This window comes from Homo sapiens, chromosome 16, assembly GCF_000001405.40.
Source record: "Homo sapiens chromosome 16, GRCh38.p14 Primary Assembly".
Classification (NCBI taxonomy): Eukaryota; Metazoa; Chordata; class Mammalia; order Primates; family Hominidae; genus Homo; species Homo sapiens.
The window spans coordinates 70,173,672-70,190,703 of record NC_000016.10 but is presented as its reverse complement, the minus strand read 5'-3'; the positions used below and the strand labels follow the sequence as shown (position 1 = coordinate 70,190,703).

Genomic DNA, 17,032 nt, shown 5'->3' with positions numbered 1-17,032 from the left:
AAGATACTGAATCACCAAAAGAAACTTAAAGATTTTGCTAATTGATATTGGCTTACTCACAGTACATGGTTGGCTAAAAAATTTTTTTAATTGATATTGGCAAAAATCTGGGAAGCTGATCTGAGAATGAATTCTGAGGGTGCAGGATGGGTGAGGGAGGAAGGGGATGCTAGATAGGGATGAATGTACCGATATTGAGGATTCCACAGGGACAGCTTGAGAAGCTGGGATTATAGGCGTGAGCCACAGCGATAATGTAGTACTTTCAGTGCTGAAATCAGGATAGTGCCAGGCAAACTCGGACAATTGGTCAACCTAGCTGTTAAGTAACTAACTTGCTCTAAATCACAGTTATTAAGTGGCAGGGCCTGTATTCAAATGCAGGTGGGCTGACTTCAGATTCAAATTGTTTGCTTTTGCCAGTGGTTCTCAATCTTGAGCATGCAAACCTGGAGGCCTTGTTAAAATTCAGATAGCCCCATCTTCAGGGTCTCCAATTCAGTAGGTTGGGGCCGCCGAGAATTTGCCTAACCAGCTCCCTGGTGATGCTGAGGCTGCTGGACTGGGAAGACTGGGAACCAACTGAGAAGACCTTTGTATTTGGCTTTCTCACCTCCAGATAAGGGCTTTTTAACTTTTATTTTGTGAGACAAGGTCTCAATCTCTCACTCACGCTGAAATACAGCTTATGATCATGGTTCACTGCAACCTCAAACTCTTGGGCTCAAGCAATCCCCTGCCTCAGCAATATGAATAAACATATTGGAGGCCAGGTGTGAGACTCCACCTCAAAAAAAAAAAGTAAAGGAATAGGGCTGGGCGCGGTGGCTCACGCATATAATCCCAGCACTTTGGGAGGCCAAGGCAGGCAGATCATCTGAGGACAGGAGTTCGAGACCACCCTGGCCATCGTGGTGAAACCCCGTCTCTATTAAAAGTACAAAAAAAAAAAAAGCCGGCATGGTGGTGGGCACCTGTAGTCCCAGCCACTCGAAAGCTGAGGCAGGAGAATCGCTTGAACCCAGGAGACGGAGATTGCAGTGAGCCGAGATCACGCCACTGCACTCCAGCCTGAGCAAGAGCAAGACTCCCTCTCAAAAAAAAAAAAAAAGTAAAGAAATAAAACAATGGCTACTCCATAGAGCAGCCCCGAGGGCTGCTGGTTGCTCATTTTTATGGTTATTTATTGATTATATGCTAAAGAAGGGGTGGATTATTCATGCCTCCCCTTTTTAGACCATATAGGGTAACATTCTGGCGTTGCCATGGCATTTGTAAGCTGTCTTGGCGCTGGTGGGAGTGTAGCAGTGAGGACGACCAGAGGTCATTCGCATCACCATCTTGGTTTTGGTGGGTTTTGGCCGCGGCTTCTTTACTGCTTGTGCCGGCCTCTCATCTCATCCTGTGACTTAGAATGCCTCCACCACCTGGGAACACAGCCCAGTAGGTCTCAGCCTCATTTTACCCAGCGCCTACTCAAGATGGAGTTGCTCTGGTTCAAAGGCCTCTAACAGAAGCTAAACACAGGTGGGGGCTTTCAAAGAAGCAGATCCAATGCCCACTGCCCTTCCTCACTCCCCTAATAGATGTAGGGCACCATGGACTTTTACAGACTGAGGGACATACTCTGGATGAGAATAGTTTACCCTATCAAGGAAAAGTAAGTTCCCCAGATGAAACGCCACAGATAACAGGCATATTGTAAGTCAGGCTTTGTACGTTTTCCAAAACTCACTACAGGGATCCCCTTTGAGGTGCAGAATCTTGTATCACAATAATCACGATTCCTTGGCCAAGGCCTTTTGATGTCATGGTCCGTGTTTTTCTCCGGATCGTTGGGCATGCGGAGGCAGAAGGAGAGCCTGGCAGAGTGAATGACAAACGCAAGGGAGGCTGCAGAGGGGAGGGAGTGAGGGCGGCCCAGGGCCCAGCCCGGCGGGAGCCGAGGAAGAGAAGGACCAGCCAGCCAAGGGCGGGCGGCTCCAGAGGAGGCCCGGGACTCCCAAGTTTCCCAGCCTCTTCCACCCCACGCGGATCCCTGCCCCGACGCTGATTCAGGGGGTCAAAGCCTCCGGCGGGGCGGACCGCGGCGGTGACTGGAGGCGCCCCAGTTTCTCTGGGTGTGGCCTGCGGACCCCCTCGGGAGCAGGTCGTCCCGCACCAGTGTCTGCCCCCGGCCCCCAGGGACACCTGCACCCGCCCCACTCACGACGGCGCGTCAGGTCCCCAACCAGGCGTGGGGCGGGGTGGGAAGGTCTCGGTTCGGCCGCCCCGCCTGTGCTGTCCCCACCGCCCCCCGGCCTCGGGCAGCGCGCTCCCGGGTCACCCACCTCCCGCGGGCATGCGCAGGGCGGCCCCTCCGGGCGCTGCGGCCGCGGCCCCGGCCAAGGGGCGGGTCCCGGGTCTGGGAGGAAGAGGCGCGGCTGCTGGCTGACCCGGGAACCAGACCGAGCCGGAGAGCGGGCCCTCCCGTCTCCCACCGGGCAGGAAGGCCTGGCGCTCGCAGGCGACCTTGCGCCAGTGCCCGGGCAGGGATCAGGGGGCTCAGCGCCTTCGCGGGAGGTAGAGAGAGCTGGGGGCATCTGTGTGACCACCCCGCGTAGGTCCGCGCTGAGCCAGGACACAGGACAACTGCCCGCGCCCGGTTAGACAGGCGAAGCCCTGGGAAGCAGTGGGAGAGGGAAAGACTGGGCCGGCGCCGGGCCGCATGCCTGTAACCCCAGCACTTTGGGAGGCCCAGGATGGCGGATCGCTTGAGCACGGGAGTTCGAGACCAGCCTGAGCAACATGGTGCAACCCCGTCCCTACAAAAAACACAAAAAATAGCGGGGCGTGGTGGTGCGGACCTGTGGTTCCAGCTACTTGGGTGGCTGAGGCAGGAGGATCGCTTGAGCCTGGGAGTTCGAGGCTGCAGTGAACCCCAATTGCACCCCTGCACTCCAGCCTGTACGACAAAGCGAGACTCTGTCTCAAAAAAGAAAAAAATAGGGCCGGGAGCGGTGGCTCACGCCTGTCATCCCAGCACTTTGGGAGGCCGAGGCGGGTGGATCACGAGGTCGGGAGATCGATACCATCCTGGGTAACACGGTGAAACCCCGTCTCTACTAAAAATACAAAAAACAAATTAGCCGGGCGTGGTGGCGGGCGTCTGTAGTCCCAGCTACTCGGGAGGCTGAGGCAGGACAATGGCGTGAACCTGGGAGGCGGAGTTTGCAGTGAGCGGAGATCGTGCCACTGCACTCCAGCCTGGGCGACAGAGCGAGACTCCGTCTCAAAAAAAAAAAAAAAAAAAAAAAAAAGAAAAGAAAAGAAAAAAAATAAATAAATGACAGCCAGACTCACTGGGTTTGACTCCCAGCTGTATGATCTTATGCAAGTTACTCAATCTCTCTGCCTTCATTTCTTCCGCTGTAAACTGGGACAGTGATAACCCCTTGTGGGTGATGTCTGAGGAGCTGGGTGAGGGAGCGGGACTGCACAGGCTCTGACTACCATTGGCCCTGGTGCGATGACACTCCGCCGGTGGGGGCAACACACACGCGTCGTCTCCCAGACATTCAGAGCAACTTCTATTAATACCCTGCCTGCCTGGGCCCCAGCCATGAGAACTGCCCCTCACTGAGGCAGAGTCTGGTCTTCCTCTTCTTGGGGAGACCCAGAACTTCCAGAGAGTGTCCTGGACCATGAAGGTGACCAGGAAAGGGAATAGGTGGGTGGAGGCCGCTGCAGTGAAGCCTCAGGCCCCCTCTGGTCTCTCCAGGGTCATCCTGGATCATCTGAATTTCCCTTTGAAATGAGCATGCACAGGTTCAGCTGATTCATAATTTAATACCCTGTGGGGTTCATGCCACAGGGAAGCTCCGCTGCCCCACAGGGTCTGGGCCAGGTGGAAGAGAGCAGCCTTTTTGGACCACTGGCGGTGTCCTCTCCTTTGCCATCTAATTGAAGCCCATCTTCCCAATCAAAAGCAGGCGAAGGGCCCCAGCTTCTTCTAACACTCACTCCCTGGCCCTCACTGGCCTCCCTGCCTCTCTCTGCCCAACTTCTGGCATTGTGCAAGGTCTGAGACCTCTTTGGACATGAGGCATGTGGTCTTAACCTGGCCCTTGTTCCAGACAGGTGGGCGGACAGGTAAGCAGAGCCGGTGCTCCCAGGGCAGGCGAGGGAGCCATGTGGTCAGGCCTCAGGACCCTGGGCCCCACCGGGAGATGTGCTCCTGGGCTGGAAGGAAGCAGAAGAGAGCAGGGCTCGATGGCAGCCCAGGCAGTCCCAAGATGGCAGCCCTGTTGCACTCGGTCTGGAAGTGCCCATGGCCGTGGTCCCTGTGGCGCTCCAGGCCTTCCTAGCAGAGGCTGCTGGGAGCTGGTGCCATGCTAGGTTTCACCTCCGCCTCCACCACAGTTCATGGGGCTCCCGGGAACACCAAGGAACCCAACAGGTTCCCAGGCAGCAGCTTTCATGACAGGAGAGGGTCCTTGGAGAAATCCCCTGCAGAGCTGTAGCTCTAGTCCTTCCTGCGTGGCCTTGCTGTATGAAGCTGGGCCCGTCGTTGCCCCTCTGGGCTCAGGAGCCCACAGGTACAAGGCCATCAACAGGGCATCCTCTATGGCCCCGTGTGCCCAGACCCACTCTGAACCTGCCACCTAGATACCCTTGCAGGCTGGACCGGGTCAGCAGCACCCCCAGGGTCAGAGATCAGAGAAGGGGAGCCTCAGGAAGTCCCTCACCAAACTGGCAGATGTAACGGTTTCGGGTTTTGCAGCGCTGGTTGTTCCAGTTGAAGGCAGCTGAAGCCTGCAGCTCCACGCAGTTGCCAAACCTGCAGGCCATGGTGTGGTGGTCAGGAGGCAAGAGTGAAGTCAGGGATCCGGGAGAGGCCTAAGCCCTCCACCCATCAGGACCCTGCATCTCAGGGGCTCCAGTGCCCCCACCTGCCGACGGGGCTGCCGGGAGCCAGGCCCGTCCCCAAGCCCCCAGCCCTGCTCCACTTCTCAGGGAAGCCCCTTCCTGGGGTAACAGCTCTGCCTACCCCATGGCAGCACTCAGCCACACCAGCCTGTGGGGATGGTGGGGACTGGAATAGACAGCCCACTTGAGAGGTACACCTGGGAACCCAACAAGGCCCAGACTTCCTCCAGGCAAGAGGCCAGGGGCACAGGCCGGCTGTTGGCAAGGAGGGCTGGCTGAAATCGCTGGAGCCCTTGGTGGCCTCGCAGCCGGACCACCTCCACCCTGGCCCTGGGCATTGCTGGGCTTTGAAGAGCAGGGTGGGGCCACGTGACCAGAGGGTTCTTGCTACAGGATGGCTGGTGGGTCTGCAGGTGCAGGGTTGTATTGTGAATGAGTGCAGGTGGGTGACAGCTAAGGAATGCTGGCATCAGTGTAACTGATGCAGGCAGAGGGCATGCAGACGGAGGGGTGAGTGGATGAGAATTGGAGGGATGGAGTCACACCAGGGGACACTGGGGATGGACAGATGGATGGAGGCTTCCTGGGTCCCTCTCTCCCCCACGTGACGTGCCTTCCGGCTTGCATCTCCCTCACCCCACCACCGGCCCACACCAGCTGTGCCCACAACTCTCTGGCACCTGGGCAGGCACCAGGGAAGGATCAGACCCTCAAAGGGCCCAGCCAGGCAGCGGGATGGGGGGCTCCACCAGGCAGGCCCAAGTGAGAAGGAGGCCCAGGGGAGGGAGGCACCCCACACTTACCCGTGGTTGTCAGGCTGCCCAAAGGCAAAACTGGTGAAGGCCTGGTGCTCCCCTGTGGCCCAGCGGAAGGAGTCCTTGGCGGTCTTGTAGGTGAGCCCTGGGCCGGGGTAGTCAAGGTTGGCCCACTCAGACCCTGGAGTCTGCTGCCAGCTGCCTTTCTGGCCCCTCTTCCCAGCGCTGGCAGCCCCCATGTGCTCCCTACCTGGGCCCTTCCCGGGAAAGGGGGTGAGCAGCTGGCCCCGCTCTGGGCTCCAGGCCCTCAACACACCCTTGCCATCTGCTGGCAGCCGCCATGGCCCAGGGTTCCTGCAGCAGGGTGGGGCATCACAACCCCTTACTCGCCATACCCCCAATCAGCTGGGCACTCACCGATCCAGAAGTTCCTGGTCTCGAAGTCACTGTCAATCACCTCGTTGGTGGTCTCCAGGCGGCCCAGATAGAAGGCGAGGATGTCCTGCACTTTCTGGCTCTTGATCTGGGCCAGCACCCCGCCTTTCCTCTGTAACCCCACCCTGGGTCACACAGGCAAGGCTCCCAGAGCCCAGGCTGCCCCTTCCTGCCACCCCTGCCCATGGCCTAAGATGCCACGTGTGTGTGCTGGCCGGGCTATCATCACCCCCAGCCCGCACAGCCTCCCTTCCAAGAGCAGGGGTCCCTTCTGCTCCCGTCTGCTTCTCTTCTCCCTGTGCACGGGGGCGCGACCAGCAGCCCACAAGCCCAGGCAAGGTCTGGCCCCTGAGGAGGTTCTGTTTCACCTGCACAGTGTCTTAAATATATCCAAGTTGATTGCCAACCCCAGTAATTAATTGTGGTTTCGAGAGTTGCCAGTGGAAGTCTGGGTTGCTGGTTTTCTTGAACAACCCCGAGCTCTGGCCACCCTGACCTTGCATTCCTGCAAGGCAACCAGTGGCTGGAACTCCCTTAGATGGAGGTTGGTCTTGACCTTGGCCCCTCAGGTCAATAAGTGACCTCCTGGCTTCTATGAGCCTTGGAGTCCACGACCCCTGCTTTATGCTGATGAATAGGGTGAGGTCAGAGACGTGGAAGGAACCACCTCTCACTCCAGGGTCCCTGCATTAAGACCCTCACTTGAGGCCCTAGGGGGTTCCTAGGAAGCTAGGGGTGACTGTCACCTGACATTTCATCCTGGCTCTGTAATAGGTGTCTGCCTCTGAAGACACCATGAAGCAGTCTCCGTCGATCCTCAGGTCACAGGTGTGGAAGGGAAAATGCACCTTGGCTGGGGTAGGGGAGCCTGAGTTTGTGTGTGGACTTCAGAATCCCTGCCCTTTCCTGCCCTGCCGGGGAGCTAAGCTCAGGGTGCCCCTTCCTCTGGCCACCTGCTCCAAAAGAGTGGGTGGTGAGGGTCAGGAGCGAGCTGGTAAGTTGGAATATTGAGCTTGCTCTCTCTCAAAAGAAAAAAAAAAATCCATGGTTTATAGCATTTGCCAATTTCTTTGGTGTAAATATCCATGCTGTGGCCAGTTTCAAGATCTCAACGTGTTGTCACTGAATGAGTTGGAAAGAGAGGCACACAGCGGGCTCCTGGGAGCTGATGCCCCATTGAAGGGGGGTCTTGAGAGGAGCTGGCTCTTTGGGGGCCCTGGGGCAGGACTCACTGGCACACTGGGCTCCCCCGTAGCCGATGTCACAGACGCACGAGCACTCCTCCTCCCGGAACCGGCCGTGCACACACTGCAGGCTGCACCTCACTGCCAGGGCAGGGCAGTGGGGCAGAGGCTCAGCCCCCAGCCTTCTGGACCCCACGCTGCCCCCCAGAGGCCTCGAACATCCAGGGAATGCCAACCACAGCAAGAATACCCCTCCCATAGACAGAACCCACCAAGGCTTCCGATTGCTGGCACGCCTGGTGTCTTTGGTTTGGTCCCCATTGCAGAGTGAGGCATATTGGAGTTTGGGAGGTGACCTGCCCATGGTCACAGAGTGGGTTAGGGTAGAGGGGCAGTAGGGCAAGAATCCACTTCTGGGTCCTAATTCTGTCCTCCTCCCAGAGCCTAAGGGGCTGAACCTGATTTCACTTTGAATCTCCTGCACAGCTCAGGGTCTGGCAAACAGCTAGTGCTCAGTGAATGCTTGTTGAAAGAATGTATGCAGTGGGCAGACTCAGGGAGTACACAGTCAGCACCTCTGACACCCTTGAGACTCTCAGGAAGTGTAGCAGCCCTAGGACCTGCCACGAGAGCAGGGCTGGGCACACCCAGGCTCCAGTGCCCTCACCTTGGCAGTATCTGCCCGTGTAGCCAGGGGGACAGTGGCAGTGGCAGGTGCTGATGTTGAGACGTCCATGGTTCTGGCAGCTCATGCGACAAGGATTCCTGGGGACCTCTGGTCAGAGGAGGAGGGGACTCTGAGAAAAGGGTCTCCTCCCAGCAGGCCGGGCAGGAGCCTCCCTGGGTGCTAAGGGCCAGGGCTTCTGGGACAGCCCAGTAGGATGCTACCACCCCCACCCCAGGGTCACCAGACTGAGCCCTCATGCACTCACCACAGAGCCCCCCTGCATGGTCCCAGGCTTTGAAGCAGCCTGAGACACTGGCTGTGCAGAGCGAACACCAGGCACCCTTCTTATAGGGGACGATTGTCTTCCCGTTGACCTCCCAGTTGCCTCTGTGAGGACGAGCAGGCACCACAGGGTGTGGGAGGGCCTGGCCTTGGGCAAGGCAGAGGCAGGGCCCTGCTGCCTGCCCCCCTGGCCCCTTCAGCTCCTGCGGCCAGGCCAGGGAGTCAGGGAGCTGGGTGAGATAGGGAGATTCCCTGGGAGAGAAGAGATGGCCTCCAAACCAATCCTGGACAAACTCCCTGATACCAGGACCAGTATCCAGGAAGGGACATCCGCAGAGCAGCACCTTCTGCGTGGCCAGAATCTTTAGCACCCTCTGCCTTTCCTCTCCTCCCCTCTCCCACCAAGGGTGCAGAGCAAGGCATCAGGGACTCTACTTTCGGGTGGATGTGTGGGAATCTCACCCTCGGTGAAAGCACCCCTCCCTGTCTCCCAGACATCCCAGCAGAGGGTGTAGCAGGGCTTACCTGGGGGAGTAGGCACAGACAAAGGCTTCTATCGCTGCCTGGCCTGCAGAGCACAGGTGCCGCCCACAGCCCAGCTGGCTTGAGGTGGCCCACACGAGCTACAGGAGACACAGGGGATCAGAAACCCTATTGTGAACCACCCCTGGGGAGGGGGACACAGCTTTCGCTATCATCCAGGTGAACAGAGGGCTCCCTTACCTCCTCGAGGGCTCAGGAGCAGCAGCTGTCCTGGGCAGGGGTAGAAGCATGGGTGGGAATAGTTCAGGAAGGCTTATTTATTTATTTATTTATTTATTTATTTATTTATTTTTGAGATGGAGTTTTGCTCTTGTTGCCCAGGCTGGAGTGCAATGGCCTGATCTTGGCTCACCACAACCTCTACCTCCTGGGTTCATGTGATTCTCCTGCCTCAGCCTCCCGAGTAGCTAGGATTACAGGCCCGGTTAATTTTTTTGTATTTTTAGTAGCGACAGGGCTTCTCCATGTTGGTCAGGCTGGTCTTGAACTCCCAACCTCAGGTGAACTGCTTGCCTCGGCCTCCCAAAGTGCTGGGATTATAGGTGTGAGCCACCGTGCCCGGCCTAGGAAGGCTTTCTTAGTTGAGAGGGGGATGGAGAGGGGAGGTACCTGAAATGAGGGGAGATTGTTGATGGGTGGAGGGGAGTAGCCAAAAAAAGACTGGAACATCAAGGGCCTTGTGACTGCATGGTGACCACAACCATTCATTTCTTGCACCAGGCCACTCCTTTAAATGTGACTCTGCAGCTTTTTGCAGCAAAGAGAGGTGTCTCTTTCCTTGCTCCTTGAATCTGGCTGGCTCTGTAACTGGTTTGGCCACCAGAATGCCACAGAAGTGATACTGAGCCGATTTTGAACCTAGGCCTTAAGAGACCTTGCCATTTCCACTCATTCTCATAGAACCATGCTCAGTCACCACATGAACAAACTCAGTATAGGAGTTTGGAAGGCCTCATGGAACAGAGATGAACCATTAGAGGCCTTTTTGCACAGCCAGCTCCCAGCCGGCCCCCTAGTTGATTGCAGGTGTATGAGTGGGCCCAGCCAAGACCAGAAAACCTCCCTGCTGAGCCCAACCCAAGTGGCTGACCTGCAGAATCGTAAGCTGCTAAATTTTGGGGTAGTATGTCATGCAATAAAACCTAATGGATACAGGTCTGCAAACCAGTTTAAAGTCTTAGAATCAGCAACAGCTTGGAAATAGCACAAATGGGCAATATATAAGAAGAGTGAAACAAACTCTCCAGTAGAGACTAAAAATGACATGTACAAGACTGGCTTGTAGCAGGCAGATGTGAACATGTGATCATATACATGTATCCAACACTTAAAGAATATGTATCGTTTTTAGGAATGCATGGGACTTTTGCAAACCAGAAAGGAGGACCATACATTAGACCACTAAGCAAGTTTCAACAAATAGCAAAGAATCAGCACATCCTACAGCCCACATTCTATGAATTCAATGCAATGAAATTTAAAGTAAATAATTTACAAGTAAATAGAGAAGATAACATAGTTTAGAAACTTAAAGATACACTTCAAAATCTAAAACAACATCATGGCCAGGTGTGGTGGTTCACATCTGTAATCCCAGCACTTTGGGAGGCTGAGTTGGGTGGATCATGTGAGTTCAGAAGTTCAAGATCAGCCTGGCCAACATGGCAAAACCCCATCTCTATTACAAATACAAAAAATTAGCCAGGCATGGTGGCACACACCTGTAGTCCCAGCTACTCCGGACCTGAGGTGAGAAGATCACCTGAGCCCAGGAAATTGAGGCTGCAGTGAGCTGAGATTGCACCACTGCACTCCAGCCTGGGCGACAGAGCCAGACCATGTCTCAAAACAAACAAAAACAACATCATGATTGGAAATAGAAAAAACATCAAAACTTATTGGATGCAGCTGAAATCGTTTAAAGGGAAATTTATAGCTTTAAATGTATATAGTAGAAACAAAAAATGATTTAAAATTAATGATCTAAACATTCACATCAAGAAAATTAGAAACAATAATAGAGGCTGGGCGTGGTGGCTCAAGCCTGTAATCCCAACAGTTTGGGAGGCCGAGGCAGGTGGATTACCTGACGTCAGGAGTACTAAAAATACAAAAATTAGCCAGGTGTGGTGGCAGGCGCCTGTAATCCCAGCTACTCAGGAGGCTGACGCAGGAGAATCTCTTGAACTGGGGAGGCGGAGGTTGTAGTGAGCTGTGATCGCACCACTGCACTCTGGCCTGGGCAACAGAGCAAGACTCTGAATCGAAAAAACAAAAACAAAAACAAAACAAACAAAAAACAACCACCAACAACAAAACAGAGTTAGGTTTTTCACACCTTTGAGTCTGACAAAACTTAAGGAGCCAAGGCTGGGCACAGTGGCTCACACCTGTAATCCCAGCACTCTGGGAGGCCGAGGCAGGCGGATCATGAGGTCAGGAGATCAAGACCACCCTGGCTAATACGGTGAAACCCTGTCTCTACTAAACAAAATACAAAAAAATAACCGGGTGTGGTGGCGTGTGCCTGCAGTCCCAGCTACTAGGGAGGCTGAGGCAGGAGAATGGTGTGAACCCAGGAGGCGGAGCTTGCAGTGAGCCGAGATCGCGCCACTGCACAGTAGCCTGCGCGACAGAGCAAGACTCCGTCTCAAAAAAAAAAAAAAAAATTAAGGAGCCAGAAGATCTTCGGGAAGTGGGAACTGGTTTGCTGGTCTGCACAGTTGGCGTAAGCACTTTGGCAGCACCTAGTTGTAGGGGCACATGTTCTTCTTTTTACTAAGCCAGGGTTTTACTCCTGCTGCCCAGGCTGGAGTGCAATGGCGCAGTCTCAGCTCACTGCAATCTTCACCTCCCAGGCTCCAGCAATTCTCCTACCTCAGCCTCCCAAGTAGCTGGAACTACAGGCGCACACCATCACACCTGGGTAATTTATGTATTTTTTTGTAGAGGCAGGTTTTTTCCATGTGGCCCAGGCTGGTCTCGAACTCCCGGGCTCAGGCAATCCTGCCACCTTGGCCTCCCAAAGTGCTGGGATTACGGGCGTGAGCCACCGCACCCAGCCTTGTGTAATATTTAAACATGCACAACCCACTTGCACAGGTAGTGGAGGTATTAAATATTTCCTGGGATTTTGCTTGTGTTTTTCAGTGCATCTGAAGAGCACCAGGTGTGTGTAGAAGACCCTCAACAAATATTTGTTGAATGAAGAGAAAAAATGGAAACTTGCTTGGCAGTGATGCTCCTGAACTTTGGGAAGATTCCCTCCAGGGAGGGACAGCGGGAAAAGGGGAGGAGCAGGGCTTTAGTTTAGTAGCATCTTCTAAACCTAGGTAGTGGGTAAGAGTGGGGCCGTTTTAAATTTACGTTTGAGGCTGGGTGCGGTGTCTCACACGTGTAATCCCAGCACTTTGGGAGGCCCACGCAGGTGGATCACTTGAGGTCAGGAGTTTGAGACCCAGCCTGGCCAACATGGTGAAACCCTATCTCTACTAAAAATACAAAAATTAGTGGGGTGTGGTGGCTCGTGCCTGTAGTCCTAGCTACTTGGGAGGCTGAGGCAGGACAGTCACCTGAATCTGGGAGGCAGAGGTTCTAGTGAACCGAGATCAAGCCATTGCACTCCATCCTGGGTGACAGAACAAGACTTCGTCTCAAATAAATAAATAAATACGTTTATGTTTGAAATTATTTATATTTCAGATTGAAAAAAAGTGGCTTAGGCCAGGCATGGTGGCTCACGCCTGTAACCCCAGCACTTTGGGAGGCTGAGGCAGGCAGATCATTTGAGGTCAGGAGTTCGAGACCAGCCTGGCCAACATGGTGAAACCCTGTCTCTACTAAAAATACAAAAAAATGAGCTGGGTGTAGAGGCGCACACCTGTAATCCCAGCTACTTGTGAGGCTGAGGCACAAGAATCGCTTGAATCTAGGAGACGGAGGTTGCAGTAAGCTGAGATCACGCCACTGCACTCCAGCCTGGGGTGACAGACTGAGACCATGTCTCCAAAAAAAGAAAAAATGTGGCGGGGCACAGTGGCTCACGCCTGTAATCCCAGCACTTTGGGAGGCTGAGGTGGGTGGATCACTTGAGGCCAGGAGTTCAAGACCAACCTGGCCAACATGGTAAAACCCTATCTCTACTAAAAGTATAAAGCCATTAGCCAGGCCTGGTGGCACATGCCTGTAGTCCCAGCTAGTCAGGAGGCTGAAGTACAAGAATCACTTGAGTCCAGGAGGCGGAGGTTGCAGTGAGCCGAGATCACGCCACTGCACTCTAGCCTGCGCAACACAGCAAGACTCCGTATCAAAAAAAAAAAAAGTAAAACTAAACCAATTGGAGGAAAAGGAATCCCAACATTTAGGACAAACTGTAGCCTCTTCTGAGATGGACCAGTGGAAGTCTGTATCTGGGAGCTGGCACGCTGGCCTCACCTGCAGCACACTCACCTGCGTGTAGTGGGTGCAGGTGGCGTTGCGAGCACACTCTCCTGCCGCGTGGCTGTACCGCTGCCCCTCTGCAAACCATAGGCTGACCACTTCAACAAAGGACGCCAAGCCCGCGGGCAGCAGCTGCATGTTCCAGCCCACTTGCAGGGTGCGCCACAGGCCGGACGCCAGGCTCGGGGTTGGGATTCCACAGAGGGCTGCCCTGGCTTGAGCCAGTTGGGCCAGGCTGTCACTCCAGTCCTGGGGGCAGCACAAACAGACATCTGTGGGAGGCCTTTGACTGCTGGGCCAGGCCTCAAAGATTCAACTCCCCTGCCATCTCTGAGCATCCACCGGGTGCCAGGTCAGGTGGCAAAGAGAGCACTGGATGAGGAGTCCTGCTGGAGGAAGCACTGGTGTTGTCTGATGTCCCTCCAGGAGGAGCCCAGCTCCTCTCACGACTGAGCCTCCATCTCCAAATCCTGTCGTGGGCATCCTTCGGCCCTGCCCAGGCAGTGGGACCCGCTCCTGCTGTCTTTCTCCCATCTGGTCATGTGAGCAGTGCCCACGCGTTGCAGACTGGTTCTGTGTTTGGGCCCTGGCCATTGTCAGAAAGGCTCCACTGCTCCCACCCGGCCATGCTGCCCTCCTGTGATGCAAAAAGCCCTACAGCCACGCCTCTCTGCCCTAGTCTCCTGCCCCCAGGAGCCTGGCCTCATATGCTCCCCACCACGCACAGCTGACCCCGCCCCCTCCCTCTTCTTTTTTTTTTTGAGACAGAGTCTCACCCTGTCGCCCAGGCTGGAGTGCAGTGGAGAAATCCCGGCTTACTGCAACCTCCGCCTCCCAGGTTCAAGCAATTCTCCTGCCTCAGCCTCCCAAGCAGCTGGGATTACAGCCATGTGACACCACACCTGGCTAATTTTTGTATTTTTAGTAGAGACGGGGTTTCACCATGTTGGCCATTGCTGGTCTCAAACTGCTGACCTTAGGTGATCTGCTTGTGTCAGCCTCCCAGAGTGCTGGGATTACAGGTGTGAGCCACCGTGCCCAGCCCCCTCCCTCTTCTTAAACAAGTGGGCCTGGCAATCACCACCCCTGGGTGACTTGGTGCAGTCCCCTGATCTCCCGAGACTCCCTGAGCTCATCTGTAAACGGAGCAGGGAGGTGCCTGCAGGATAGGACTCACAAGCACTGAGTGGATGCAGGGAGGGGGGCCCCTCGGGGCTGCACCCCAAGCCAACTTCATCCTGCACTAATGTCCATCGGGGTTTTACCTCTGATGAAGGCTGGGGCCAGGAGCTGGGGGCTCCCCGGGGTCCCTCAGCAGCCCTCCACCCCCACAAGACCTTCAGTCTCCACTGTGTCCAAAGAAGGGGTGCCCTGGAGCCCTAGAGGCCCGGAGGGTGCTCGGGGCCGGGCCACGAGGGAGGCTGAGCCATGGAGCTCCATTTGCACCTTTATGGAAATGAAGTTTTCTAAGACTTTGACAAAAGGGCCCTGGAAAGGGTGCCAGCTGCCAGCCAACGACCACCGCAGCCCCTCCTGGGGTCCCAGGCAGGAGTACCCAACCACGGAGGTCACAGCTGGGAGCACCCCTGGTTGCCCAGGGTCTGAGCCTGAGGAGAGGCAGAGCCACTCAGGGCTGGGAATGGGGGAGAAGCGACCCCCCGCATTTAGCCACCCCACCCCCACCTCCTGGGAAACTGACCCTAGAGTGCTCAAGGTCGCCACTGTGGCCACCTGCCTTGGAGGAGTTCATGGGAAGCAGCCATGGGGAACCCTCCCGCCCCCACCACCCTGCCCTGGCTCCCTGGCCTGCTAACATGGGCTGGGGCTGCTGGGGTCCCAGACAATGGAGGGCAGCGTTTCTGAGCCTCCAGATGACAGTCCCAACCCCGCAGCCCCAGCCGGGCTGGTGGGGAACTCTATACCCCCGACCCCCGGCCCCTGCTGAAAATGTGGAAAATGTGGACGAGTGAGTGAGCAGAGAACATGGGCAAGGCCCGTCCTCGTGGCTCAGATAAGCTCAGGAGGAGGCGCTGGGTCCTTGCCGCACAGAAGCCCCTCCCCAGCCCAGCACGACCTTCTCCCTCCCTGGCCCGGCCGCCCATCCTGCAGGGCTCCTCGTGAAGCTCCCCTTCCCTGGAGGAGGGGATCCGGCTCCTCCTGTGGCTCCTGGTCTCTGTGGCAACAAGATGCCAGGGAAGGCCCAAGGTCCTGCCCTTCAGGCGAGTGGGAGCCAAGGGGCCCGACCTCCTGAACTGAGGGTGGGGGGTTAAGAAACTGCAGAGACCCCCAGCAACCAGGGCCTCCGTCCCTCAGGGGCAAGGTGGCTGGCTGTGCCTGCCCACCCTGGTCAAGTGGAAGGGCACCTGGACAGGCGTGGCCTCCTGAGCCGCCCTCTGGGGTCCGCGCCTCCGGCCACCCCCCTGGCAGAGCCCAGCTGGGTCGGGTACTCACCAGCCTCCGCATGTCAGCCGCAGGGGGCTGGACCCAGCTGCGCAGGCGGTTGTGCAGGGAGAGGAGCAAGAAACTCTCCTTCCTGTTCAGGGCTGGGGTGGAGAGAGAAGGTCAGGCAGCCCGAGGATGGGGGGACCTGAACCCAACACACGGCAGAATAAGCATGTGTCCCTGCCCTTGGAAAACAAGATGGGAGAGGAGTGTGGTGGGTGCAGGGGACGTGGGGCATAGCAATGGAGCGAGGCTGAGAGAGAGACCAGGTACAGCAGGCGTGGGCTGAGTGCTGGGGTTGGGGTGGCGGGAGGGAACAGCGGTGCGGGCTGGGTGTAGGGGCCAGCCCTGGCTCCCGCAGGCCCCTGTCTGGGGCTCCTCCGGGCCACGGATTTCTCCAGGCCCCAGCCACAGCGCTCCTCGGCGTTCCTCCTTGACCCCAGCCCTGGTCCTCCTTCCTCCTCCTTCCTCCCCAGTCCAGCATCCACCCCTCACCGCCCCCGGGCTGTCCCAGGGCTTCCTCATTAAACCACCCGCACGGCCTGGGGCTCAGGCCTGGGACCGGGCTTCCAGAAGTCTCCTAGCACCCACTCCTCAGAGCTCATAATGGTGCCTCCACCTACCTCCTCACCAGGTGTCCCTTACCTCCGGCCATCGGAGCCTGCTCCTGCAGCTGGGGTGGCCACACCTCTGCCCAGGCGGTGCCAAGGAGGGCCAGGAGCACAGCCAGGAGATGCCCCCGGCCAGGGGAGGTCTCTGGATGCAGCATGGGTCTGTTGGGCCCGTCAGGCACTCCGTGCACAGCCTGGCTCAGCCACCCGGCTTGTTTCTCAGGCTGGATGGAGCTATTCACAATCTCCAGGAGTCAGGCTGGGCTGGTGGACAAAAGAGGGAGGCTGGTGAGTGAGTAATCAGTGTGTCCAGACAGCCTCCTGTTGGCGCTGGCATGAAAAGAGACAACTCCGGGGGATGCCTGCCTGCTCCGGCCTCGGCCTGGCCAGCCCGCCCCCGACAGCAGGCAGAGTGGCGTGCACTGACCCGCGGCCCCTGCTAATCATTGTGGGATTATTAGCACCCTTGGGGAGCCCCCAGAGACCCCGCTGATTGGCCTGCGGACATTCCAGTGCTGCAGATTAGTGACCGATGGCCGTGTCCTGGCTGGGACAGTGTCCTCCGAGCCCACTGATGGCTTCCGCTCCCCAGCCCCGGGCCCTGGGAGGAGGACCTCGGCTATGGTCCTTCTGGTGAGCAGAAACTGGGCAAGACCCCAGGGGAGTTCTTTCCTTTCTTGGGAAGCTCGTCCCAACCCCCCAGCCATGAATTAAACATAGGCAAGAGGTAACCGCACACCAGAGGGGTGCAATCTGTGGGCTCAA

The 17,032-nt window shown here is 56.6% G+C and overlaps 1 protein-coding gene and 1 long non-coding RNA gene across 4 annotated transcripts, besides 1 other annotated feature; both read right to left on the bottom strand.

Moving 5' to 3' along the window:
* Nucleotides 1–1,451: 1,451 nt before the first annotated feature.
* On the bottom strand, nucleotides 1,452–2,382 carry LOC105371328 (uncharacterized). Its single transcript, NR_135173.1, has 2 exons — nucleotides 2,331–2,382; nucleotides 1,452–1,862 (listed from the first exon to the last, which is right to left on the bottom strand). It is a non-coding gene; the product is annotated as an uncharacterized LOC105371328 (long non-coding RNA).
* Nucleotides 2,417–3,346: an enhancer, noted in NCBI's record as "H3K27ac-H3K4me1 hESC enhancer chr16:70221261-70222190 (GRCh37/hg19 assembly coordinates)". NCBI's record gives its function as "activates a minimal SCP1, AML or CMV promoter by ChIP-STARR-seq in primed H9 embryonic stem cells {active_cell/tissue: H9 hESC(primed)}" and the evidence as "EXISTENCE:reporter gene assay evidence [ECO:0000049][PMID:30033119]".
* CLEC18C (C-type lectin domain family 18 member C) lies at nucleotides 3,809–16,917 on the bottom strand. Of its 3 annotated transcripts, NM_173619.4 has the most exons (13): nucleotides 16,753–16,917; nucleotides 16,302–16,531; nucleotides 15,666–15,757; nucleotides 13,224–13,463; nucleotides 8,757–8,854; nucleotides 8,215–8,336; nucleotides 7,950–8,057; nucleotides 7,331–7,423; nucleotides 6,845–6,951; nucleotides 6,081–6,210; nucleotides 5,712–5,808; nucleotides 4,728–4,819; nucleotides 3,809–4,221 (listed from the first exon to the last, which is right to left on the bottom strand). In NM_173619.4, the coding sequence occupies exons 2-13, from the start codon at nucleotides 16,423–16,425 to the stop codon at nucleotides 4,184–4,186; spliced, it is 1,341 nt and encodes a 446-aa protein (NP_775890.2). In that variant the 5' UTR covers nucleotides 16,426–16,531; nucleotides 16,753–16,917; the 3' UTR covers nucleotides 3,809–4,183. The 3 variants fall into 3 exon arrangements, with proteins under 3 accessions (NP_775890.2, XP_047289947.1, XP_047289948.1); XM_047433991.1 differs by lacking the exons at nucleotides 3,809–4,221; nucleotides 6,081–6,210; nucleotides 16,753–16,917 and adding an exon at nucleotides 5,914–6,017 and having other exon boundaries at nucleotides 4,731–4,819; nucleotides 13,209–13,463; nucleotides 16,302–16,711; XM_047433992.1 differs by lacking the exons at nucleotides 3,809–4,221; nucleotides 4,728–4,819; nucleotides 6,845–6,951; nucleotides 16,753–16,917 and having other exon boundaries at nucleotides 5,716–5,808; nucleotides 13,209–13,463; nucleotides 16,302–16,713.
* Nucleotides 16,918–17,032: the final 115 nt, after the last annotated feature.